This window comes from Homo sapiens, chromosome 9 (genome assembly GCF_000001405.40).
Source record: "Homo sapiens chromosome 9, GRCh38.p14 Primary Assembly".
NCBI classification, from domain to species: Eukaryota; Metazoa; Chordata; class Mammalia; order Primates; family Hominidae; genus Homo; species Homo sapiens.
In genome coordinates, this window is record NC_000009.12 from 102,500,472 (window position 1) to 102,525,757 (window position 25,286).

Sequence of the window (25,286 nt, forward strand, 5' to 3'; positions counted from 1 at the left end):
CCAGCCTAGCCAGCCTGGAGAAACCCCATCTCTACTAAAAATACAAAAATTAGCTGGGCATGGTGGTGCCTGCCTATAATCCCAGATACCTGGGAGGCTGAGGCAGGAGAATCACTTGTACCCAGGAGGCAGAGGTTTCAGTGAGCCAAAGTTGTGCCACTGCACTCCAGCCTGGGCAACAAAGCAAGATCTGTCTAAAAATAAATAAATAAATAAATAAATAAATAAATAAATAAAATAAATAATTTTAAGAATTCATTGTGCTCCTTAAAGCAGAGGATGGTTTCTAGCCAATTCTGAAAGCAGTCTCAGATTGTTTCTTTCATCCTCATTCTATTCTTTCTCTGGTTACATATTCAATTAAATAGTGTTAGTGCTTCTCCTTTGGTAATCAATTTATCTTCACTTCTCTCATAGTTTCAGAATCTGTCTCTCTGAGCTGTATTCTTTTTTTAAAATTTATTTTATAATGCACTCTTACCACCTCATACCCCTCTCAAAATTTACTACTTTTCTCGTAAATGTAGCTTTTCTATCATTGAATGCATAATTGAATTTTATATTTTAGTGATTGCATTATTTCCTTTAAAATATTATGTCATTTTGATATTTCATTTCTTCATACACTTCAAACTTAAATATATTGGTCTTGCATACTATTTCTTAATTGTTCACTATCTGCACTCTGTGTACATCTTATGCTTTTTTTCATAGCTTCTTAAGAGAAGCTGTAACACACGCACACACGCACACGCACACTCTTACTTATGGTAGGCTATTTCCTTATCTGTTTATTAAGTGTAACAATTAGCTATATGTTTGAGCTTGAACTTTAGGAATCTGTTTGCTGTTCTATTTATTATTGACCATTATGTTTTAGAATACTACCTGTATTATTATTTGGTGATTTATTAATTATAAACATTTAATTTGACTTCTTACAGTAGGCAATGAGGACTTGGCAGTCATAGCCAGTGCCATTTTTATCAAACAATCATTAAAAAATAATTATATTTTAATTTAGCTTGAATTTACTTTCTGTATTTATGTTATTATGACTTAGTAACTATTGATCTGAGTATCCCTGATTTATAAAATAAGTGTGTTTTTTGTCCTTACACTTTAAATATTATCTTTTCATCACTGTTATTCTGAAATGTCATATCAAAGAATGAGAGATGCTAGAATCTGTGAAGAAATGTTTTAAAACAGAGAATTCTACTGAAATCAAGGAAGAACTGAAAGAAGGATGTGGCTTAAAGTATACGTTCTGTGAAGAAGGGAGATAATGGAGAAGCTGTTGATATAGTAAACAAAACAAAACAAAAAAGGCAAATAAAAGAGCTGCCTGTTCTGGTAAAGCATCACCACCTGGGTGGGAGAAGGCTGTGTGTCCTGAGCCAGGGCTTATTAATTTAATCAGCAGTACAATGTGTGAAAATATGGTAAGGAAATGATGCAGTGCTTAACTTCAGCATTTTATACTCTTAATAAAAAAAAAAATAAAAAAAAATAAAAAAAACTGGCCGGGCGCGGTGGCTCACGCCTGTAATCCCAGCACTTTGGGAGGCCAAGGCAGGTGGATCACAAGGTCAGAAGATCAAGACCATCCTGGCTAACACGGTGAAACCCCATCTCTACTAAAAATACAAAAAATTAGCCACCATGGTGGCGGGTGCCTGTAGTCCCAGCTTCTCAGGAGGCAGAGGCGGGAGAATGGCGTGAACCTGGAAGGGCGGAGTTTGCAGTGAGCAGAGATGGTGCCACTGCACTCCAGCCTGGGTTACAGAACAAGACTCCATCTCAAAAAAAAAAAAAAAAATCCCACTAGAATTATAACTGTGTTATGTCTTCCTAACATGAGAAAATAATACACACAAATATACATACAAATGCAAATATAAACATGTAATCAATATAAGTGACTGTATTATTTGCTTTTAAAAATATGGAAAGGTCGATCAAAAGCAATTTCAGTGAAAAGCTAGAAAATACATTTTAAAAATCAGAAAACCTTAATAAAGAGAATAAGCTGTGGTATGATTAAAAACAAAGGTGTGTTGTTTTATGACACATAACTCCAAATGCTTTTTCTAGCAGGTGGAAGAACTATGTTAAAAGCAGGACATCTCCACTCCTCCAGATGAGTTATGTGTTAGGCTGAAGTAAGGAGTACGGAAAGCCCAGTTGCTCTATATGATACAAAGCAAGAAGAGTTTAAACTGTTGGAGGGAAGATGGGAACTTGGAGAGAGGAAAGAAAGGACCAGCAGCATGGAATTTTACATAGGAGAAGCAGGGAAGAGATGACTTCTCTCTGAGGCAGAGAGCGGCACAAAAAGGACTTGGGAGCAAAACAATGGCAAAGAGGTAACCTTTCCATTGTTCGGCAAGGAATGTACTATGAGCCTCTCACTGTCACCCTTACAGTATTTTTATATAACTTATGATCCTCATTAAATATTTTGTGTGTGTGTAAAAATAGAAACTTTGAAAGAAATTCAGCAGGGAGCAGATGTCTATATCAGAGTCAGTGGTTCTGAAACAGTACAATTTGGCCCCCTGGAGAACATTTGACAATGTCTTGGGGCTCTGTTGGTTGTCACAACAGGGAGATAGGGAGTGCTATGTCATTTAGTTTATGTTTACCAGGGATGACAGTAAATGTTTTACATTCCATTAAAAAGCCTTGCAGAGAGAGAGAGAGAAAGAGAAAGAAAAAATATCTGTTGCAAAATGTCAATAGTGATGACATGAATAAATTCTGATCCAAATTATTGCATTTAAAGCAAAACTATTATACAGAAAAGGAAGTTATGAGCAAAGGAGGTTTCTGGTATAAGACAACAAGTTAGCAAAACTTCCTGGGAATTCTGCATAAAACTCAAAAAACTAAGAGATATCCTCACCTTGCCTCAAAGGATGTGAGTTTACCAAATTCCAGGGCAGCCATGTCTCCAAGAACATCCGAGTTTCTTCTCTACGAAAAGAAAAACAAAAAAAAAGGTTAGTCATACATTTATTAATTTCAGGGCCAAAGAGATAATAAGGGGACAAAGAATCAACTCCAAAGAGTCTCCTGCTCTTCAACAGCAGTGGGAAGACATGTATGAACTAATGACCTGTCAAATCCCAATAAGGTAGATGGGGATCTGCATGGTCTGTGGCTTCAGTAAGCAAGGAATTACTTATACCACTAGCATGCTGACTGTCCAAGATATAGGACTGCCATGCTTTAAAGAGCAGTTTCCTGATGACACAAAATATTCACCTGGACATAGAACCTCAGTCTCAGCCCCAGGCCTGTCCATCAACACTATCCCCAGACGGCTTGGATTCTAGGATCTCTGAAGCTCATCACAAGTACAGATTCAGTGTGGTTCTGAGAGTTTCTTAGTGCTGAGTGCGAACAGGAAGAGCACAGGTAGCTCCCTTGAAAAGATAAGGAAATTATTTTAATGTTTTCAGTCTGTTGGGGAAGAAGAGGGTGAGGGGCAAAAAGACCCACTACGAATAGTTAAATCAGTACCAGCCATCAGGCTAACCCAGGGTCCAGGTGAGGGTAAAGCTGTATATCTATATATAACTGTATATATATAAAGCTATACATAACTGTATATATATAAAGCTATATATAACTGTATATATCTATACAGTTAAAAGCTGATAGGATGGACTGTAGGGATCCTGAAGCTTCTGGGCACATACAGGAATTTAGTGTGATCCCCACATATTAAGCGGGACTTAGGCCGAGTTTTCCAGCAGACACAGAAAGTCAGTTCAAGGAGGATATCCAGGGCCAAAAGGAGTATTAGGTGGAATTCCTGAGTCTATCCCTCCTGTCTAGGTGAAGGTAAGGGGAAAATGCAGCTTCACACATCAAATAGACTCTGAAGGCCAGAGTAATGCTGGCAGGGATACATATACTAGAAATCATGAGAGTCATCATAGTAAAGCTGTCAGATTCAGTGATTGGTCAGATTCAGTGATTGGTCGGTCTGTCTGACTTATTTGCCTTCTAGGGAACTTCTGTCTGGAGCCAACATACTCAGGTTTGAACCAAGGAAGCCAGGCTCCTCAGGCTACTTGCTATATTAAGCAAGGCTTTGTTGTGGGGTATATTTTTGAAGGTAGCTGGAACTTCATCTTTTATCCCTTCTAAGAAAGAAAATCTTCAGAAAATCTGCATATACTTGGACATTATCTAATAACCCCAATCCCCGATGCTGTCAATTCTCTGTAGAGGATGGTATCTATTTTTAAAATTTTTTTCTTTTATTTATTTATTTACTGAGACGGAGTCTCTCTGTCGCCCAGGCTGGAGTGCAGTGGCGCCATCTCGGCTCACTGCAAGCTCCACCTCCCGGGTTCACGCCATTCTCCAGCCTCAGCCTGCCGAATAGCTGGGACTACAGGCACCCACCACCATGCCCAGCTAATTTTTTTGTATTTTTAGTAGAGACAGGGTTTCACCATGTTAGCCAGGATGGTCTCGATCTCCTGACCTGGTGATCAGCCCACCTCGGCCTCCCAAAGTGTTTGGATTACGGGCATGAGCCACTGCGCCAGGCCTATTTTTTAATTTTTATTTTTATAAATTTGTAACATTTACTCATTTTTATTCTTTTAAATGGACAACATTGTATTTACCATGTAAAAGTTGTTTTGAAGCATTTATACATTGTGGAATGACGAAATCTAGCCAATCAACATATGCATGACCTCACATAGTTATCATTTTTGTCATGAGAGCTCTTTACATCCACTCTCACTGCATTTTTCAAGAATACACTCTATTATTAACTGTAATCACCACGTTCTATAATAGATCTCTTGAACAATGGGGAGTCCTTGAAAGAATTTAATAAGGGGCTTGGTTTGATCCACCTTTGGTTTTAGAAAATTCACCTTCACAGAGCATTATGGATAATATATCCCTAAAGACTAACTCTAAATGCATGGAGACCTCTAGACTCTAGACAGACTATAGACATTTATTTAAAACCGAAGTTATGTTGTTGCAAATGACAGGATCTCATTCTTTTTTATGGCTGAATAGTACTCCATTGTGTATAAGTACCACATTTTCTTTATGTCCAGAAAAAAATCACTAGAAGTAGAAATAGAGAAAAATGGCAAAATGAAAAGGCATGAAATTCCAGTTACATGTTGCTGAATAAATTTTTAAAGGCTCTAAGTCTACATATTATAAAACAAAATCATGTTATACTTAAAACCACTGTGGATTAGATAATTCAGAAAAAGGCACAGTGGGGATGGGTCCTTATATTTCCACAACATCTGGTGTACCTCATAAGTCTAGGACTGGAATAAGCAAAGCTGCAAGACCCACATCATGGTCTAAAACTATCACACATATAAATGAAAGAATAACTTAATGTGACATTTCAATGTAATATAATTTCAAAAAAACACGTCGTGTTCTTAATTTTAGTTATTTACTAAATAATTGCTGATGGATCAATTGTAACCATTCAATAGCTACTTAATTTAGCAGTTGCTATTTTCATAAATACCTTTAATTTCCCCAGAATTATTGCAGCATTCTAAAAGAATGCTAAGATTATAACTATACATATATACATGAGACATTGATCACATTTGTCTTTGGAACATGGAAGTTACAATATTTGGCATATTTGAAAATATACAATTTGATCAATTCTATAGATGCACAGAATTAGAATACAGAATTTTAATATTTTCTATTAATATGTGACAGTAGATAATATCAGATGAGGTTAAAATTAGTGCTTAGCTGCTGAGAATAACATTTTATTCCTGATTTTTAATGGCACTTAACAAGAGAAAATAATCTACTTTTTTAGGATAGAAATTTTTACTGAACAAATTCTTGATTAGAGTAATTCAAGCATTGATGAATAAATTTGACATTAAGATACACTTAGGAACAAATGTTGAAGCTTTGTGCAAGTGTAATAGATTTATGTGAGCCAACTAACTTCTAAATAATTAAAGCAGCATTCACAGCTTTCTAAAAATATAGGTATCCAGTCACCCAGGAGATTAGCCTATAGCTGAGAGCCTGTCTGACATGCCATGGTTATTAATGGTACTAATAAAACTGAAGCTAGCCAGCTCTCTTGCAAAGGGGTTGATGGGGAAATGCAACCGAGCATGATCCTTCTTTTAACAAAGAGAAGGATTTCCCATGTTTTGCTTATTTTCTGACTTCTGGTCTGAAAAGTTGTAGTTACTTTTATTTGGTGCTGGCAGATGATTCTTATTATTATCACAGAGCATTAGCCACATAAAAAAACTGAAGGGTTTCTTCTGAAATATTTGCTGTTGTTTCTTTTAAGGTTCAAAGAATATGTTCCTTTGAAATAATATCAGTCCAAACTCAACCAACCACATACACAAACCTGCATGTGTGTGCACTCACACATACTAATTAAAGAGTTAGAAGCTGTGACTTGATCTGTGTTCAGAATAATGTGAACCTAAAATATTCAGAAAGAAATAGAAGCTTTTCTCTGTCTTTTAGGCATTTTCAATTTCCCTTAAGTTCAAAAATATTTGTGGCTTTTTATTCAATTAGCCAAGACATCATCAAGAGTAACTTATTTTTCAAATTTTCTTTTCACCATCATCCAAAAAACTCTGGTGATGCACAAATAAATGACTTCTAGAATTAGCTGTGGGAATTGAGGTAAGTTACTTAACATTTGTGAGCTTTCGTTTCTCAATTGCAACTGCAGAATTGTTTATCCACCCAATAAGGTTGTTGTGAGGATTGTATAAACAAGACTAGACATATAGAAAGTGCATATTTATGGCAACACACTTCAAAACTACATTGCCTTTCTGTTTTAGACCTTAAGAGAAAAAGACTTTTGGGTATGAGAGGAAACAGAAGTAAACACACTAAACCCAGACTACACAAACCAATTTTATATTAGCCACATATGTGGCTACAATACTAATGTTTTCCAGGGCAGGAAAATGTGTTTGAGCAGTCATATCAATGTAGCCTCAGACCTCCAGCAACACTTACTCTTAAACAGTCATATCTGATTTAGTTCCTCTATTGACACCAATCTCTAAACATGAAAGTAGAACCAAAATAAATTCTTTACGAAGGAGAAAAGTTCTTTGTAAATTCAGACTTCAAAACATTTTTCTGTAATCTTGTATACATCATGAATCCCTGAATAGATTAGAGTTTGGATTAAAGTTATACAAAATTAGAGAAAAAACAAATTTCTGAGCTGAACTCCTTACACAAACTTTTAATTATCAGACATGCAGACAAGTTTTGGACAAAAATAAACCTGTCAGCTAAAACAATTACATATATCTATGGAAACAGAGTATAAAACATATTGATTTCCTTTAGTAATTTTAAAGGTAGTCCAGAAGAATCAAGAAGGATATAGAAGATGTCAACAGTTCTATAAATCAACTTTGCGTGAGTGAATATTTATAGAACTTAAACCAACAACTTTAAAATACATATTCTTTTCACATGATAAGTAATATTAACCAATATTGACCAAATCATAAAATAAATTTCCACATATTTCCAAAAATTGAAATTATGTAGCCTGATGTATGACTACAATGGAGATAAGTTAGGTGTCAATAGCATTAGGAGAGCTAAAAAATCTCCAATATTCGAGAATTAAAAAAATAAAAACAACTTCTAAATAACCTGTAAGACAAAAAAAATGTAAAGGGAAATAAGAAAATATTTTAAATTAAGTGACAAGAAAATTTAACATATTAATAATGGTAAAATTCAGTTACAGCAGAACTATGAGAGAATATTAGATTTAAAAGCTTGTATAAGAAAAGAGATATGTTTAATAACAGTGATTTATGTTTCAACTGCAAGACACTAGAAAAGATGGCCAAAATATGCAAAGTAAGTAGAAGAAATAACGTAATAGACATAAGAAATCAATGAAATAGTAAAAGGCAACAAAAATTTGAAATGTCAGGATTTAGTTATTGGTAAAAAGATATTAAACTTGATAAGTCTACATCAAGACTCATCGAGAGAATAGAGAAAAACTAAAAACTGACAATATTTGGAATGAGAGAGAGAATACCACTATGGTTCCTAGAGACATCAAAATAATAACACTGACTAAGGAAGAAACACAATATCCATTTCTGTGTGTGTGTGTGTGTGTGTGTGTGTGTGTGTGTACAGAGTATTCTTTTACAAAATTACCCCCACAGGAAAAAAAAACATGCACAGAATGCTGTACTGGTAATTACAAAATATTTATGAAAAAGTACATATTTATATTTAAATTGGCAGATATATAGTCCAATGAAACAGAATAGAGAGCCCAGAAATAAACTCTTGCATATACAGTCAACTTACCTTCTACTAGGAAGCCAAGAATACACAATGGGGAAAGAATAGTCTCATCAACAAACACTGGTGGAGAAAACTGAATGCCTACAGGCAAAAGGGTGAAATTGGACACTTATACCATACACAAAAAATCAACTCGAATATGGATTAAAAACTTAAATGTAAGACATAAAATTGTAAAATTCCTAGAAGAAAACATGGGAAAAATGCTACTCTACATTAGCCTTTGCAACAGTTTCTTGAACATGATAACAAAAGCACAGGCAATTACAGCAAAAATGCCTGTGTAATTACATGAAACCAAAATGCTTTTGCACAGCAAAGGAATCAACAGAGTAAAGAGACAACCTATGAAATAAGAGAAAATATTTGCAAGCCAAAAAAGGAGTTAATATCTAAAATACAAAAGGGACTCCTATAACTGAGTAGCAAAAATAATCACAATTTAAAACTAGGTAAAGAATTTCAATAGATGCTTCTCTAAGGAAAGCATACGAATGACCAACAGGTATGTAAAAAGGGTTTCCACATTACTAATCATCAGGAAAGTTTAAATCAAAACCACAGTGAGATATCAAATCATAGCTGTTAAGATAACTATTGTAAAAAAATGTTGCTGAGGATATAAAGGAAATCCTCGCACACTGTTTGTGGAAGTGTAAATTGGTTCAGCCACTATGGAAACAGTATGGAGAGTATTCAAAAAATTGAAAATAGAGCTACTATATGATCCAGAGATGCTACTTCTGGAGATATATATATATATATATATATATATATATATATATATATATATATATATATATATATGTATATATGTGTGTGTGTGTGTGTATATATATATATAAAAGATTTAATTTCATCTTGAAGATACATATCTTGAAGAGATACCTGCTCCTATGTTCACTGCAGTATTATATACAATAGCCAAAATATGGAAGCAACCTAAATGTCCATTGATGGATGAAAGGGAAAAGAAAATGTGCTATTTACATAAATGGCACATTATTCAATTCTTTAAAAGACAGAAATACTATCATTTGTGACAATATGGATGAATCTGAATGACATTTTACAACTGAAGAAAGTCAGGATAAGAAGGACAATTACTACATGATTCTACTTACATGTGGAATCTAAAACAGTCAAACCCATAGAAACAGAGAGCAAAATAGCAGGTGCAAGAAGCTGAGGGGAGGGGAAAACAGGTAGGTGTTGATCAAAAAGTGCAAAACTTCAATTACACAAGGTGAATAAATCCTAGAAATCTACTGTAGATAATAGTCCCTATATTTAACAGTACTGTATCATATACTTAAACATTTGGTAAGAGATTAAATCTTATGTTGTATTCTTATCACAAAAATAATAAAAAAGAGAGGGGGAGGAAATTTTTGGAAATGATAGATACATTCGTGAAATTGATTGTGGTGATAATTTCACAGATGTATACTTATTTCTAAAGTCATCATTTGTATACATTAAATATGTACAGCTTTTTGTATGTCAATCATATCTCAGCAATTTTTTCAAAGAAGGTATTCAATAAGCAAAAATATGAATAAAAATGTTCTCAATCTCAATAGTCTACCAGGTATTAATATATTTTTACTAACAAGTCAATTTAGCAAGGTCATTGAATACAAAGTGAATATACAAAAACGGTTTTATTCTATGCACTTGCTACAAATGATTAGAAAATTAATTCTTACATATTATTTACAACAGCATAAAAATCGAATTTCTATGAATATATTTAATGTTCAGTATCTCTACATTGAAAACTCCAAACTAGAACTGAGAAAAATTAAAGGGCCAAATAAATTAAAGGGGTTGTCATTTTCATGGATTGGAAGACCCAAGATTATTAAGATGTCAGTTATTTCCAAATCTATGTGTTGAATTGATAAAGTCCCAATCAAAGTACAGGCAAATGAACACTATCTCAAACAGATAACCAAGGTTAATATCTTCATGTTCATAGTCACGTTGGTAACATTTACCCCTGATATAATGTGATAAGAATGGTACTTCACCTCTGTAGTCATCCTCCAAATAACTCATAACCCTAGTTTAACCATTAAAAAAATAAGACAGTCAACCTGAGGACCATTCTCCAAACTGTCTAAACCATATCCCTTAAAACTCTCAAGGTCATCAAAAGCAAGTGAAGCCTAAGAAACTGTCATGAAACAAAGGATATTAAAGAGACATAATAACTAAATATAATGTGGGATCGTGGATGAGATCATGGAACAGAAAAAAGATACTGGGTAAAAACTAGTGAAATCTGAATAAACTGTGATTTAATTAATAATACATTATATTAATCTTGATTCCTTAGTGGTGACAATGAACCATAGCAATGTAATATGTTAACAATAGCGGAAACTGGGTAAGGGTATATGGGAACTCTCTGTAATATCTCTGCATTTTTCGTGTAAATCCAAAAATACCCTAAAATTTTTAAAATGAATTAAAAACAAAACATGTTGGACTAAAAGATTGTAGAATATCTCAAAATTGTGTCCACTTAGTAACATGTAATAATAATGATAAACCACTTTATCAGACAATTTAGAGTTGCAATTCCTAGAATGAGTTTGTCATGATTGTTCAGACAATAGAAACCAGTTTTCTACTTTATAAAATTTTTACTCTGAAAATAATTTTAGAATAACCATAAAAGATTTTCTAAGTATTGTAATAGTACATTAGTGTAAGATTATCATGTATCCTTCATGGCATTGTTCATTAGAAAATCTGAGATTGCCTTGGCAAACGTAAAGTATTACCTTTATGTTACTATTATACAATTTGACTTTCATTCTAACTAGGAAGATATCAAATAATTTAATCATTTTTTCTTAGTATTTCATTATTTTGAATACATCTATGAAGGCCCTGAACATTGTAATACTTTCAATACTTTCCATTTCAAAGATCAAATTAGTACTAGTGGAAACAGAGATAAATCAAGAATTAACTGAGAGCCTCTAGAAGGGTCTGATTTCTGAAGTTTCAGGTAACATATTGAGAGCAAGGGCTCCATAGTAAGCAGTTTCTAGTGGGTCATATATTCCCCAATATTTCTTTTGACCTCACTGTATCTAATCTACTCACTGGGTGAAGTAGGTTCTATGGAAGAGTGTAAAAGCTTGATACGTCCCTCTCTCCTCCACACTCTGCAAGATTTAATTATAAGAAGATATCTCTTTTATTCCTTAAGATGAGCCCTCTATTAATCATTTTCCAGAGAGCTCAGCAATAAACCTCTTGGATTTAATGAAATACATTAAAATAAAGGCATCTTTTTAAGTGTAACTTTATTGTGTGTAACTAATATCATTAAATGAATTATTTAAGGTTTAATTTATCACATCTAGCTCATTAAAGATGCTCCTTAAAAGATTCATATTATTTCTACTGCACATATTTTTTGTTTTGATGTTTGTTTCCAGTAACAATATAAACTGAAATCAGTAACCTTATGACCTCTGTCACTCCACATACTAACTCAGATTTTGAAATATGCACATATGGATATAAATGAATAACTGAATATGTAAATAAATGAAGGAGAAGGGATAGCTCCTCCCTGAAAAGTATGTACAATTAATAAATGTAGAAGGAATTAGGGAAAAGAAAGTCATCATTAGAAAATCACAACAATAATCACTGCAGGCAAAATCCATTGATGAACAGAGAGGATATTTACAACGTCTCCAAGTATCTTCACAAAATATTTATTAATTCTAAAGGAAACCGTGGTACCTTTATGGTAGAGAATGCTGGTAGACACCATCCTAAATAATATTTATATCACCAATAATAAAACATGAAAATCATAATTCCTGACATGATACACTACATTGGGTATATCACTTCTACAGCATTTTTGTCAAAAGTGCATGATCTCAGTTTAATGAGAAAACATCAGATAAACCAAAATTCACAGATATTTAACAAAAAAATTACTAGTATTAAGAAATAGCAAAGTCATGAAAAACAAGAAAAGGCTTGAGGAACCGTGATTTGGAGGACACTGAAGTGACATGAATAAATCCTATGAGGAATTCTGAATTGGATCCTAGGACAGACACACAATACTGTAAAAGAAAAGCTGGTGGTATCCGAGCTAATTGCATAATTACTTAATAGTACTGTGCCAACATTAATTTCTTAGTTGTGACTATTGCAGTAGTCATGAAGAGGTTAATGTCAGAGAAAGCCAGGTGAAGCCTACATGTAAGCACTCTATTCTTTTCATAACTTTTTTTTTTTAGCAGAAAGTCTGATTTAATTAATTTAAATAATTAAAAAGGGCTTAACACTGTTTTTCCAATTATTTCGTTTACTACTATTTGTGCTGAAGCTTTACTTTTTTCTTTTTTTATTATACTTTAAGTTCTACTTTTTAATAACATTTTTAAAGATTTAAAATTATTTCAAAATTAGAAGTTAAAAAACAAGCAATTGATTCTTACATAATATGCTCTAAGTTGAACACATTGCAAAACTAAAACTATTAGCAATATACTTGCAACAAATTATTAAATTCTCAAGGACTGCAAAATGAAAATTAGAATTGTATTTATGAAGTACTCCAATCAGAATCAAATTACAATGGAAAAGAAGAGATGCTTCTTGGTTCAGATGATACACATATCCTTTCACTCAACATAATCATACATACCCAACCATGTTTGCATTATTTTAAAATCTAATACATCATAAATATTCCATTTACACAAATTTAAACAATTAGCTAGACAATATTTATCAATTTGAATGTGATACTCCATGATAACATTGATGTACCTCATACTCACTGAAAGCAATTCTACCTATACAAAGAGGTTATCTAAGCTTCAAGAAATTTTGGTTGGGTATAAAGAATACATTGATTGTTTATATAATAAAATAATAGAACGGGATATCAGGAGATTATGTTCCTAGGGAATCCAAAAGGAGATAAAAAGTAAACCGACGGGTTGGAGTTGAAAGTGGAAGAAAAATAAATTAATGTTAATTATAGGTTAATATATGTGAGACTAAATCTAGAAGATTACACTAATATACTTTTGTTCCTTACAACCATAAGGAGTAGGTTTTATCATTAACCCAATTCTGTACACATGAAACCTGAGGTACAACGAGGCTAAGTAAATCAGGTGTTATGTGCTGAATGGTGTCTCCAAAAAGCTATGTCTAAGACCTAACCCTTGGTACCTGTGAATGTGACTTTATTGGGAAATAGGTTCTTTGCCGATGAAATAAGGTTAAAATGAGACAATGAGGGATTGGGGTGAGCCCTAATCTAATGACTTCTGTCCTTATAAGAAGAGGAAAATTTGGAGGCAGATAGACACAGGAGGAGAACACAACCCTATTGTGGTAATAGAGACACAGGTTGGCATGATGCGTCTATCAGCCAAGGAATGCCAAAAATTGTCGACAACTTCCTGAAACTAGGAGAGAGGCACGGAAAACATCCCCCTCCTTGCCACCAGAAGGAACAAACCTTGCCAACACTTTGCTTTTGAAATTTTAGCCTCCAGAACTATGAGGCAATACATTTATTTGAAGGTACTCCGCTTGTGGCACCTTGTTATAGCAGTCCTAAAAAACAGTTTACAGGGCTATGAAGTGCATGAATCTGAATTCAAACATACTTAAGATTCCTCTAACTTAATCTTACTTTGTAAAAGAAATCAATCTGACAAAAGGCTTAAGACATGCATCGGACCAAAAACAGAATGGAATCCTGTGTTCTCCTGGCATTTATTCTCGATCACATTGTGATTGAGATCATATTATGATCACATTATGATAATTCGGGAACAAATGTTCTCCCGAACATGATAGTCAACAATAGCAGGTAGCTAGGCAACCTGCAGCTGGGCTGCAGCCAAGGAGGCAGCACCACCTCGCACCGGCCAAAACAAAGACACATTCTAGAAACATCCTGAGATAAAACTGGTGGATCACACAGTTGCTGTGGATTCAAATCTCCTTCTCTTTTATATATCTATGTATGTAGATATATGTGTGTATATCTCTGTGTGCGTGTGTGCGTGTACACACGCATGAGTATTTAAATGCACCTACTTTCTTGACAAATTAAAAAAGGAATGACTCCTTTGAGGCGGTCCTTCCTGTTTAAGCTTGAGTTTCTATTTCACTAAATGCAAATTCATGTTGGTAGGCTACTCGTCCAGCTAGGGTTGCTGTTTCCAGACTACAGCTTAGCAGTGTGGAAATTACTGATGCACAGATTCTTTGTGATCTTAGATTGGAATGTTGGTGTTTCACTCCTATAGATTATGTTAAATTCTAAGAAAAAACGCACCTCATAGCTCATGGATGGAAAAACACTGATCAAGGCATTTTTGGATTCCAAGTTATGAACAAAATCTCTCGGAAGCACAGTGCAGCCAATGTCAAATGGGACACCTGTTAATATATTAGGAACTTCTAAGAGTAGTAACATCAAAAGTTACATAATAAACAATGCCTCTGATTGTCCATCACCCATTCATTTAATTGGAGAAAAGCAAATAAATACCAACTTAGTACAGAAGGTACTGAAGAGCCTAACAAGACTCAAAATTCACTATTAATTAATTGATCTTGAAAAACATGTTCCTATTTAAGTAATGTTTGATAAAAACAGGATAAAGGGAGATTTGAAAAGTGTTTCTTTATTCACATCAAAGTTAGCAAAGCCATCCACTGTGTGTCATCTGCAAAGGAGTTAAACCAAAGGACTTTTTCTGGACCATCTAATTTGGGTAAATTCATCAAAGGCACATTATTAGGAAGGACGTCATACTCTTCAGTCAGTGCTCCAAAATCACTATTGAATGGATTTTATAGAAACCCACTGAGTTTCAATAGCATGCAAAGACCTAGAGCAAATTCTTGTGCTACTAGAAGTAGTTCTAGAGAAAGCTTAGCTGAATCCTCAGACAATATTATGCATATTACTGGTGAAAAAAATGGTAAGGTCACACAACTGTTCACATTCCATTCAGAGTTCATTTCTTGCACCTTCATCTATAACCAGATCACACTCCTTCAATAGAGCTATAGATCTTATAAGTACTAACAGTACAGTCTTTTAAGTACTAACACCTATCCATTAGAGTACCTCTGCACTCATGTATGCTAACAAGAAACTATCAGCAGTAAGAAGTATGAAATTAGAGTGAACATTTGGGATAAGGATTTATTAGGTCTTATGCTGCTGGTGGAAAGAAATTGGCTTTACAATGGCCCAGGTGCAACCTTCACTTTAGGTTATTGGATGGTTCATCTCTCTCTACTGAAATCGAGCTGGCCTCAAGTTTCTGGGACTTTGATGGATCACAATTAATGGAAATAAAAATTCCCCTGCTGACATATTTGTAGAAGATGATGCTACAGTTTTGGCTAAGGATAAAGCTACTAATGAGGACCAAGAATTAACTGAAAATGAAAGTTATAGGACAGAAAATGATGAGACCATGAACCATGATGCTAAAATAGATAGCTGAGTGATGATGTGGATAATATTTCCTTGTCTCCTCTGTCATCTTCTGATAAGAATGATTTAAGTGAAGACTTCAGAGAATATTTAATAGGTGTAAAAGACTTCAACAGAACTAGAATAACTCTAGAGGAAATTTCTCTCAAAGAAGAAAAATATGAAAAGGTAACACCCCAGAATATATCTGATTCTCTCAAGGAAAATGAAAAAATCTTGCAGTGAAACTGATAAATAGATATAAATGTCTCTAATATGAGTGAATATATGAAACATACTTCTGGGAATAATTTGATTTTACCAGACACAGATTTCAGAGCTGGTTCTTCATTTGGACTCTCCATCTGATAGCTATAATGGAACATACATGTGGAATGAAGAGGGCTTGGAACCCACTGGAAATGTCTATCCAATTGGGAGTTACGAGCCCTATGAAATGAACAACATAGATATTTTGAATAATCTTGAATCATGTGAATTTGAGGATGATGGCCTTATGATACACATCTTGAAAATGTGGAGCATGAAAATATGAACTGCTTTGACTGACCAGACAGAAGTGTTCAACAGCCTCAGGAAGAATTTTGGAAAAGGCCACCCTAGAAATTGAGTAGACAGGAACGCTACCACGTCAGTCATCCTAACCACTGTGATTACCACGGATAAAGTAATTTGAGCAGAGGCTCTCCCTATAGTGAATCTTCTTTGGGTCATTTTGAAAGCTATGGAGAGACACCCCTTTTCCAGGTTCAGAAAATGTTTGTAGATGTACCAGAAAATGCAGTGATGCTGGATGAGATGACCCTCCAGCACATGGTTCAAGATTGGAGCTTTGTAAAAACTCAGTTACTCAAACTGAAACATCTCCTGCATCAGCATGAAGGACATGGTTCCTGGCATGATATTCAACTATCATTGCCATCAAGTACAAGAACCAGAAGATGGTGATGAAATATATGAGAATGAAGATTTATTAAATGAAATAAAACAACTTAAAGAGAAAATAAAGACAAAAGATGAAAAGATCCAACAATTAGAGAACTTCAGCTTGCAATTCAGTATAACAGCCACCAAAAATCTAAATAGGAAAAATGCACACATACTGATAAATATACCAAAATGCCCTGGAGACAAATTCCTCCTCAAGTGCTACAGCCTTCCAGCAGCCCTCCCAGACCAACAGACTACACCAAGAGAGAATGAATATAGCCCCAACATGTGGAGGTTCCCAGCAAAGGTGCAATCCAAGACATGCGTCAGGGCTTCGCATATCTAGATGAAAGCTTTACATATGACTTGCAACAAGAAAACAACTATGGTTTGGAAGACCACCCTTTGGCGTCAAACCCACATTAACAATGGATGTGGCTAAGAGTACATTTTCTGAAGCAAACTTAAACATGACTGTAAATGCTCAAGAGCCTTATCATTTGGCAAATAATAAAATTAGTGACATGCCGTTTGTACCCACTTTTCTTCAGACACCTCTCCAGTCTAGTACAGTAGACCAGGCTAAGAGAGTTAGAAGCTATACATGTCACCTCATGTCCCCGCAGCTTTTAAAACCATCCATCTTGATTCTGTGATACCTCCTCCAGCTTCTGAATCATCTCCAAGCAGGACTGCTGCTTGTAAGAAGTCTTTGATAATCACAGCATGTAATTCAGCAGAACTTCAGTCAACATCAAGTAAGAAAAAAAAATCGTACAACTAATCGGAATCTGAAAGCATCTAAGCTCTGCCACCCTTCAGGTTCTTTCAAACAAAAACAAATAAACAAGCTCCAACTAGAGCCTCAAAACTTCTAAGCCAAACAAGCAACTCAAAACCACTAAGACAAATAAAATAAAACATGTAGAATCCAAATAGCAATTTACATTTTGGGGATTCTTTGGCCTCTAATCATTATTCTAGTCTTCTTAAACCAAAGATATATTAAGTACATAGCTGTAACCTGCCAATTTGTTTTTTAAAAAACAATCTGTTCTGTAATAGTTTTACATGCTGTTTGCTAGTGTACTGCAGGCTCTATTGAAAAACCTGGAAATTTTAAAATTAAAATGTGAAAGCTTCTGCTAGTTTGACTCTTCCATATCCTGGTTCCAAATACATGTCATTTGAGCGTACTTATCTCGAGTAAACACAAATGTTTGCTTACCCATTTCGGAGGCCTGCCAAACGCTCTAATCATGTTATTTATCCCCCTGTACTTTGGAAAATTTATAATATTATGCTTAGCAGGCAAGAAGTGTGCTTTCCTGGTTTAATCCTGTTAGAATCTCTATTTATTGTGGTTATTAGAACCTCACTCCTTTTCACTCGTATCTCCTGTGAATATGGCTATTATTTTAACTAAAGACACGGTAATTAATGGAAGTTCGTAGTCTGTAAATAGTGTTCTGGCCAATGCTTTATATATTTAAAAGGAGTATACAAAAACTTTGTGATGAATAAAGGAGTTTAGGCTTCTAATAAATAAATATTTTAATATTTGCATTATTTAAATAGATTTTAACCTTTAATGTTTCTCATCCCTTGAATTCTTTGAGTTTAGGTAATTTCAGTAAAAATTCTCAGGCAAGATACATAGTTTAAAGCTTTTTGAGGTTGCCACATAATGTGGAAAATTCTATCCTTAAATGATAATTTAGAAAGACAATTATTTCACTAAATTAAAATGTTTTAATTTATGAATTTTGAGAAATTTTAACTGGGTAGCAAAAAATAGGTAATATGGAAGTAAACAGAAATATTTTTATACAGTTCATGGTTTTTTGTTTGTAGTAAGTTTTAAATTTCACAAATACTTTGTTGAGGTAAAACTGGTATATAATAAGCTACACATATTAAAATGTACAATTTAATAATTTTGACATATATATGTGCGTTATATACACACACACATACATACAGTTGGTCCCCTGTGTCTGTGGTTCCACATCAAACCAAATTCAAATTAAATATATTCAAAATAATAGTAGTATATACAGTTTATGTTCTAATAAACAGAGATAGACATTGTTGAAAATATTTCTAATTTTTTTAGAATATTTAGATATGGTTTGGCTCTTTTCCCCAGCCAAATCACATCTCGAATTGTAATCCCCATAATTCCCAATTGTCAAGGGCGGGACCTGGCGGGAGGTAATCAGATCATGGGATGTTTCCCCCATGCTGTTCTCATGATAGTGAGTACTCACAAGATCTGATGTTTTTATAAGTGTTTGACAGTTCCAACTATACACACTCTCTCTCTCGCCTGCCACCACATAAGACATGCCTGCTTCCCCTTCCGCCATGATTATAAATTTTCTGAGGCCTCTCCAGCCATGCAGAACTGTGAGTCAATTAAACTGTTTTGTCTTTGTAAATTATGCAGTCTCAGGCAATTCTTGATAGTAGTGTCAGAATGGATTAATACAATTGGTTTTAGATTATTTTAGATCTCAGTATCAATAATTCAATTAGATCATCACTGAATTAGTTTAGTAAATATTCTTGTACAAATACACTATAGTGTTGCAAAATTAGCATTTGCAATTGATAATTATCATCTCTGTTCAAAAAATCCAATTATATATTAGCAAACAATTAAAAATAAAAAACACATTTTACAATTTTATTAAAACAAAATACTTAGGAAAAAAATTAACAAAAAAATACAAGATTGCAATAAAAAATAAGAATTCATAAGTAAAATTTAAAAAACTAAGTAAATGAAGAGGCATACTGTGTTCATAAATTTTATCATTTTATCATTTGATATTCAATATGTCTATATTCTCCAAAAGGATTTTTATAATTACACAAGGTCTCAATCAAATATCCGTAGCAATTTTGTAAAAATTGATTATTCTAAAAACATATAAAAGTTGGAAAGGCCTAATATAGTGAAAACAATTTTGCAAAATAAGGAAGTTGAAACACTTAACACTATGTGGTTTTGAGACTTAATTTAGACTGAGACCATCATATAATTCATCAAAAATATTTTAAATAAATACTACTCAAAATAATTACTGGGCACAGGTACTTTACCAATAAATTGGATTACAAAATTTGATCTTAAGACCATGAGTAATGTCTATTCTTTTAAATGTTGTCTGCTTACTAATGAAAAAATATGACTTAACAAAATTAGAACCAAGTTAATAAATATCCAATTATGAAATTTCCAGAAAAACAAGGATAATCATCAAAATCTAATAAAATAAACTAAAATAACATAAATAAGACATCTTTAGGTAATTGTAGTTACTTTGTTTTATCTATATTTTGTATATATACAGTACCATACATTGCTTCAGTAAGAATTTATCAAATGCCTATTGAGCTGATCACCAGAAACTGAATTGAATGAAAGCCTTCATCAAATACTTACTGAATGCCAGGCACTGGGTTGAATGCTCAGATTCAAACATCTATAAAGCTGGGAGTGTTGGCTTATGCCTGTAATCCCAGCACTTTGGGAGGCCAAGGCAGGTGGTTCACTTGAGGTCAGGAGTTCAAGACCAGCCTGGCCAACATGATGAAACCCCGTCTCTAATAAAAATACAAAAATTAGCCAGGCGTGGTGGCGGGCACCTGTAATCCCAGCTACTAGGGAGGCTGAGGCAGGAGAATCACTTGAACTCAGGAGGCTGAGGTTGCAGTGAGCCAAGATCGTGCCATTTTACTCCAGCCTGGGCGACAAGAGCGAAACTCCGTCACGAACAAACAAACAAACAAAATGAATAAGATGCACAGTCAATTTAGTTGTGGTGCATAATGGTGGGGGTAAAATAAGGGAGGAAACAAAAATAGAATTGTGTTTTTTATTTTATAGAAAGTACAGGCTTGTCTTAGGCCAAAACATAGGCAAAGGCTGAGAATAAAGAGAGGAAATGATTTCCTCTGTTTCATGAGTCATGAAAGAACAAACTGTACTCTGGTTCTATTAAAGGCTTGTATTCATAAGTAGAGCATCTTCTGTCTTTGCTACTCTAGGATTATAGGAGTATTATGAGTAAAACCTCTATGTTTAAACACATTCCAAAACCTGTTAATCAAAGCTGTAAAGTTACCCTCGGTCTGTTTAGCATGAGTTTTCATGGCTTCCTCGAAACCCTGAAGTGGGTTTTCTTTTTTCCATCTTTTCAGAAACCACAGTCAGATTCAATAAAATGTGATTCTTGGACACTAAATGCTCCCCTGTCCCAGAAGACAGGCACTGTTTATATTAGATTAGATCCTTCAAACCTAGTTCATCACAGTGTACAGATATTTAACAGATAACCTGGCAGAGAAAAATACGATAGAACAGAGAGACTGAAGCATCACCCAACAGTTAGTAAAAGTATGAACCAGTGAAAATGAGCCTATTCAACATACTGAACATACTTGAATAGAATCAATTTATCAAATTGTGCCTGTATTTATCCTAGGATTAGTTATCTGAGCCCATGTATTACAAAATTGTATAAACAAAGGGATTAATCTATGTCCTTAGAAAATTTGATACATTCCTGATGTCAATGCAAAATCACTATCTTCATATTTGTGATATTAAAGTAAACAGAAAGTAGTCATCTTTTATCATGCAATATTTGTCAACAGTAGCTCAATTATTTATTTAATACTTAGCTCCTAATTTTAATTTATACATGTGAGTAGTTACATATGAGTTTAAATACATTTATTTTCTTAATCACTGGTATTATTTTTTACTATTAAGTCTCACTCAATAATATTTTTTATTATTTACAGTGAAATATTAGTCTCCATTTTAAGTGTACATTTTACCCAAACCAATAATACCAGGACATTAAAGAAATGTTGTATGTCATCTCTTGAGGCTTTTAAAAAATATCCTTATTGATAGAGTCATGCTCTATTGGAGAAAATAAAACACTACAATTAAATTAATCAGCATGTTTGAACTCAGTATAAATAATAATTAAGCATTTCTAAGGAATTATTTTATTAAACTTTATTTCACTAAACAATGACTACCTGCACATAACAGTTTAATCTTTTTGCTTTTTTTTTTAACTTTCATTTTAGGTTCCAGGGTACATGTGCAGGTTTGTTATACAGGAAAACTGTGTGTCATGAGGGTTGGTACACAGATTATTTCATCACCCAGGTAATAATTATACTAGCTGATAGGTAGTTTTTTGACCTTCTCCCTCCTCATACCCTCCACCCTCAAGTAGGCTCTGATCTCCCTTGTGCCCTTCTTTGTTTTCATGTGTTCCTGTTGCTTAGTTCTCACTTATAAGTGAGAATATGCGGTATATGTTTTTTTGTTCCTGCATTAGTTTGTTTAGGATAATGGCCTCCAGCTCCATCCATTTTACTGCGAAAAACATGATCTTGTTCTATTTACGGCTGCATAGTATATGGTGGTGGATATGCATTACATTTTCTTTATCCAGTCTACCATTCACGTGCATTTAGGTTGATTCCATGTTTTTGCTATTGTGAATGGTGCTGCAATAAACATACATGTGCATGTATCTTTATGGTAGAATTATGTACCCAATAATGGAATTGCTAGGTTGAATGCTAACTCTGTTTTAAGTTCTTTGGGGAATCACCGTTCTGCTTTCCACAATGGCTGAACTAATTTACATTCCTACCAGCAGTGTATAAGCATTTCCTTTTCTCCACAACCACTCCAGCAACTGTTATTTTCTGACTTTTTAATACTAGCCATTCTTGGTGGTGTGAGATGGTTTCTCGCCGTGGTTTTGATTTGCATTTATCTAACAATTAGTGATGTTGAACATTTTTTCACATGCTTTTTGGCCCTGTGTATGTCTTCTTTTGAGAAGTGCCTGCTGATGTCCTTTGCCCCCTTTTTTGGGGTCGTCTGTTTTTTGCTTGTTGACTTGCTGACATTCCTTAGAGGTTTTGGATATCAGACCTCTTTTGGATGCATAGTTTGCAAACATTTTCTCCCATTCTCTATGTCATTTACTCTGTTGATAGTTTCCTTTGCTGTGCAGAAGCTCTTTAGTTAGGTCCCATTTGTTAATTTTTTGGGGTTTTTTGCAATTGCTTTTGGCATCTTTGTCATGAAATTTTTGCCAGGTTCTCTGTCCAGAATGATACATCCAAGATTATCTTCCTGGTTGTTTATAGTTTTAGGTTTGTTAAAATTTTTAATCCATCTTGAGTTTTTGTATATGGTGTAAGGAGGGGGTCTAGTTTCAATCTCCTGCATATGAGTAGCCAGTTATCCTTACAACACTTATTGAGGAGAGTCCTTTCCCCATTGTTTTTGTTGAATTTGTCAAAAATCAAATGATTGTAGGTGTGCAGCATTATTTCTGCCCTCTCTGTTTTGTTCCATTAGTCTATGTCTCTGTTTTTGTACCAGTACCACGCTGTTTTGGTTATTATGGCCTTCCAGTAGACTGTAAAGTTGGATAACACGATGCCTCCAACTTTCTTTGCTAAGGATTGCCTTGGCTATTTGGGCTCTTTTAGATTCTATATGAATTTTAAAATAATTATTTTTCTAAATCTGTGCAGAATGTCATTGGTAGGTATTCTTGAGTTTCAATTTCCTGATTTTATTATTTTTATTTCAATAGTTTTTTGGGGGGTACATGTGGTTTAAGTTACATGGATGAGTTCTTTAATGGTGAATTCTGAGATTTCAGCGCACCCACTTCCTGAGCAGTGCACACTGTACCCAGTTTGTAGTCTTTTATCCCATACCTCCCTGCTAACCTCCCCCAGCCGGAGTCCCCAAGTCCATTATATTGCTCTGTATATCTTTGTGTCCTCATACCTTAGCTCACTCACTTGTAAGTGAGAATATATGGTATTTGGTTTTCCACACCTGAATTACTTCAGTTAGAATAATAGTGTACAGCTCCATCCAAGTTGCTGAACAGACATTATTTTATTCCTTTTTATGGCTAAGTAGTATTACATGGTTTGTATGTGCCACATTTTTTATCCATTTATTGGTTGATGGGCACTTAGTTTGGCTCCATATCTTTGCAATTGCAAATTGTGCTGCTATAAACATGTGTGTGCATGTGTCTTTTTCATATAATTTCTTTTCCTCTAGGTAGATATAGTGGGATTGCTGGAATTAATGGTAGATCTACTTTTAGTTCTTTAAGGAGTCTCCATACTGTTTTTCCTAGTGGTTTTACTAGTTTATATTCCCACTGGCAGTATAAAAGTGGTCCATTTTCACCACATCCATGTCAACATCTATTGCTTTTTTGGCTTTTTAATTATGACCATTCTTTCAGAAGATGGTATCTCATTGTGGTTTTAATTTGCATTTCCCTGATTAGTGATGTTGAGCATCTTTTCATATATTTGTTGTCTGTTTGTATATCTTCTTCTGAGAAATGTCTATTCATGTCCTTTGCCCACTTTTTGATGTAATTGTCTATTTACTTCTTGCTGATTTGTTTGAGTTCCTTGTAGATTCTGGATACCAGTCCTTTGTCAGATGCATAATTTGTGAGTATTTTCTCCCATTCTGTGGGTTGTCTTGTTACTCTGCTGATTATTTCTAAGGCCTCAAAAGCAAATGCAACAAAAACAAAAAAAAATGTCATTGGTAGTTTGAGAGGTAGAGCATTGAATCTGTAAATTGCTTTGAGCAGTATGGTCACTTTAACCATATTGATTCTTCCTATTTATGAGCATGGAATGTTTTTCCATTTGTTTGTGTCATCGCTGATTTCTTTGAGCAGAGATGTTTTGTAATTCTCATTGCAGAGGTCCTTTGCCTCCCTGGTTAACTGTACTCCTACGTATTTTACTCTTTTAATGGCTATTTCATTTCTGATTTGGCTCTTGGCTTGGATATGCTTGGTGTATAGGAATGCTGCTCATTTTTGTACATTTATTTTGTATTCTGAAACTTTGCCGAAGTTGTTTGTTAGAAGAAGGGATTTTGGGACAGAGATTATTTCTAGATATAGAATCATATTATCTGCAAAAAGGGATAGTTTAATTTCCTCTCTTCTTGTTTGGATGCCTATTATTTATTTATCTTGCCTGATCACTCTGGCCAGGATTTCTAGTACTATGTTGAAATGGAGTGGTGAGAGAGAACATCCTTGTCTTGTTCTGGTTATCAAGGAGAATACTTCTAGCTTTTGCCTGTTCAATTGTGATGTTGACTGTGGGTTTGTCATAGATGGCTCTTATTATTTTGAAGCATTTTCCTTCAGTGCCTAGTTTGTTGAGAGTTTTTAAAATGAAGGATGTTGAATTTTATTGAAAGCCTTTTATGCATCTATTGAAATAATTACTTTTTTTTCTTTAGTTCTGTTTATGTAATGAATCACATTTAGTGATTTGCATATGTTGAACTAACTTTGCATCCCAGGAATAAAGCCTACTTGATTGTAGTGGTACCTTTGTGATA

General features: G+C 34.2%; 2 long non-coding RNA genes and 1 pseudogene across 2 annotated transcripts in view; 2 read left to right on the plus strand and 1 right to left on the minus strand.

Moving 5' to 3' along the window:
- Nucleotides 1–2,908: 2,908 nt before the first annotated feature.
- LOC105376190 (uncharacterized) lies at nt 2,909–14,136 on the minus strand. The gene is made up of 3 exons (XR_930191.2): nt 14,072–14,136; nt 3,271–3,431; nt 2,909–2,979 (listed from the first exon to the last, which is right to left on the minus strand). It is a non-coding gene; the product is annotated as an uncharacterized LOC105376190 (long non-coding RNA).
- CCSER2P1 (CCSER2 pseudogene 1) lies at nt 14,693–16,371 on the plus strand (annotated as a pseudogene).
- The window catches only part of LINC00587 (long intergenic non-protein coding RNA 587), a 137,873-nt gene continuing 131,752 nt past the window's right edge, over nt 19,166–25,286 (plus strand). Inside the window, exon 1 of the long non-coding RNA NR_103830.1 lies at nt 19,166–19,237. This is a non-coding gene — a long non-coding RNA (long intergenic non-protein coding RNA 587). The remainder of the gene's footprint in view (nt 19,238–25,286) is intronic.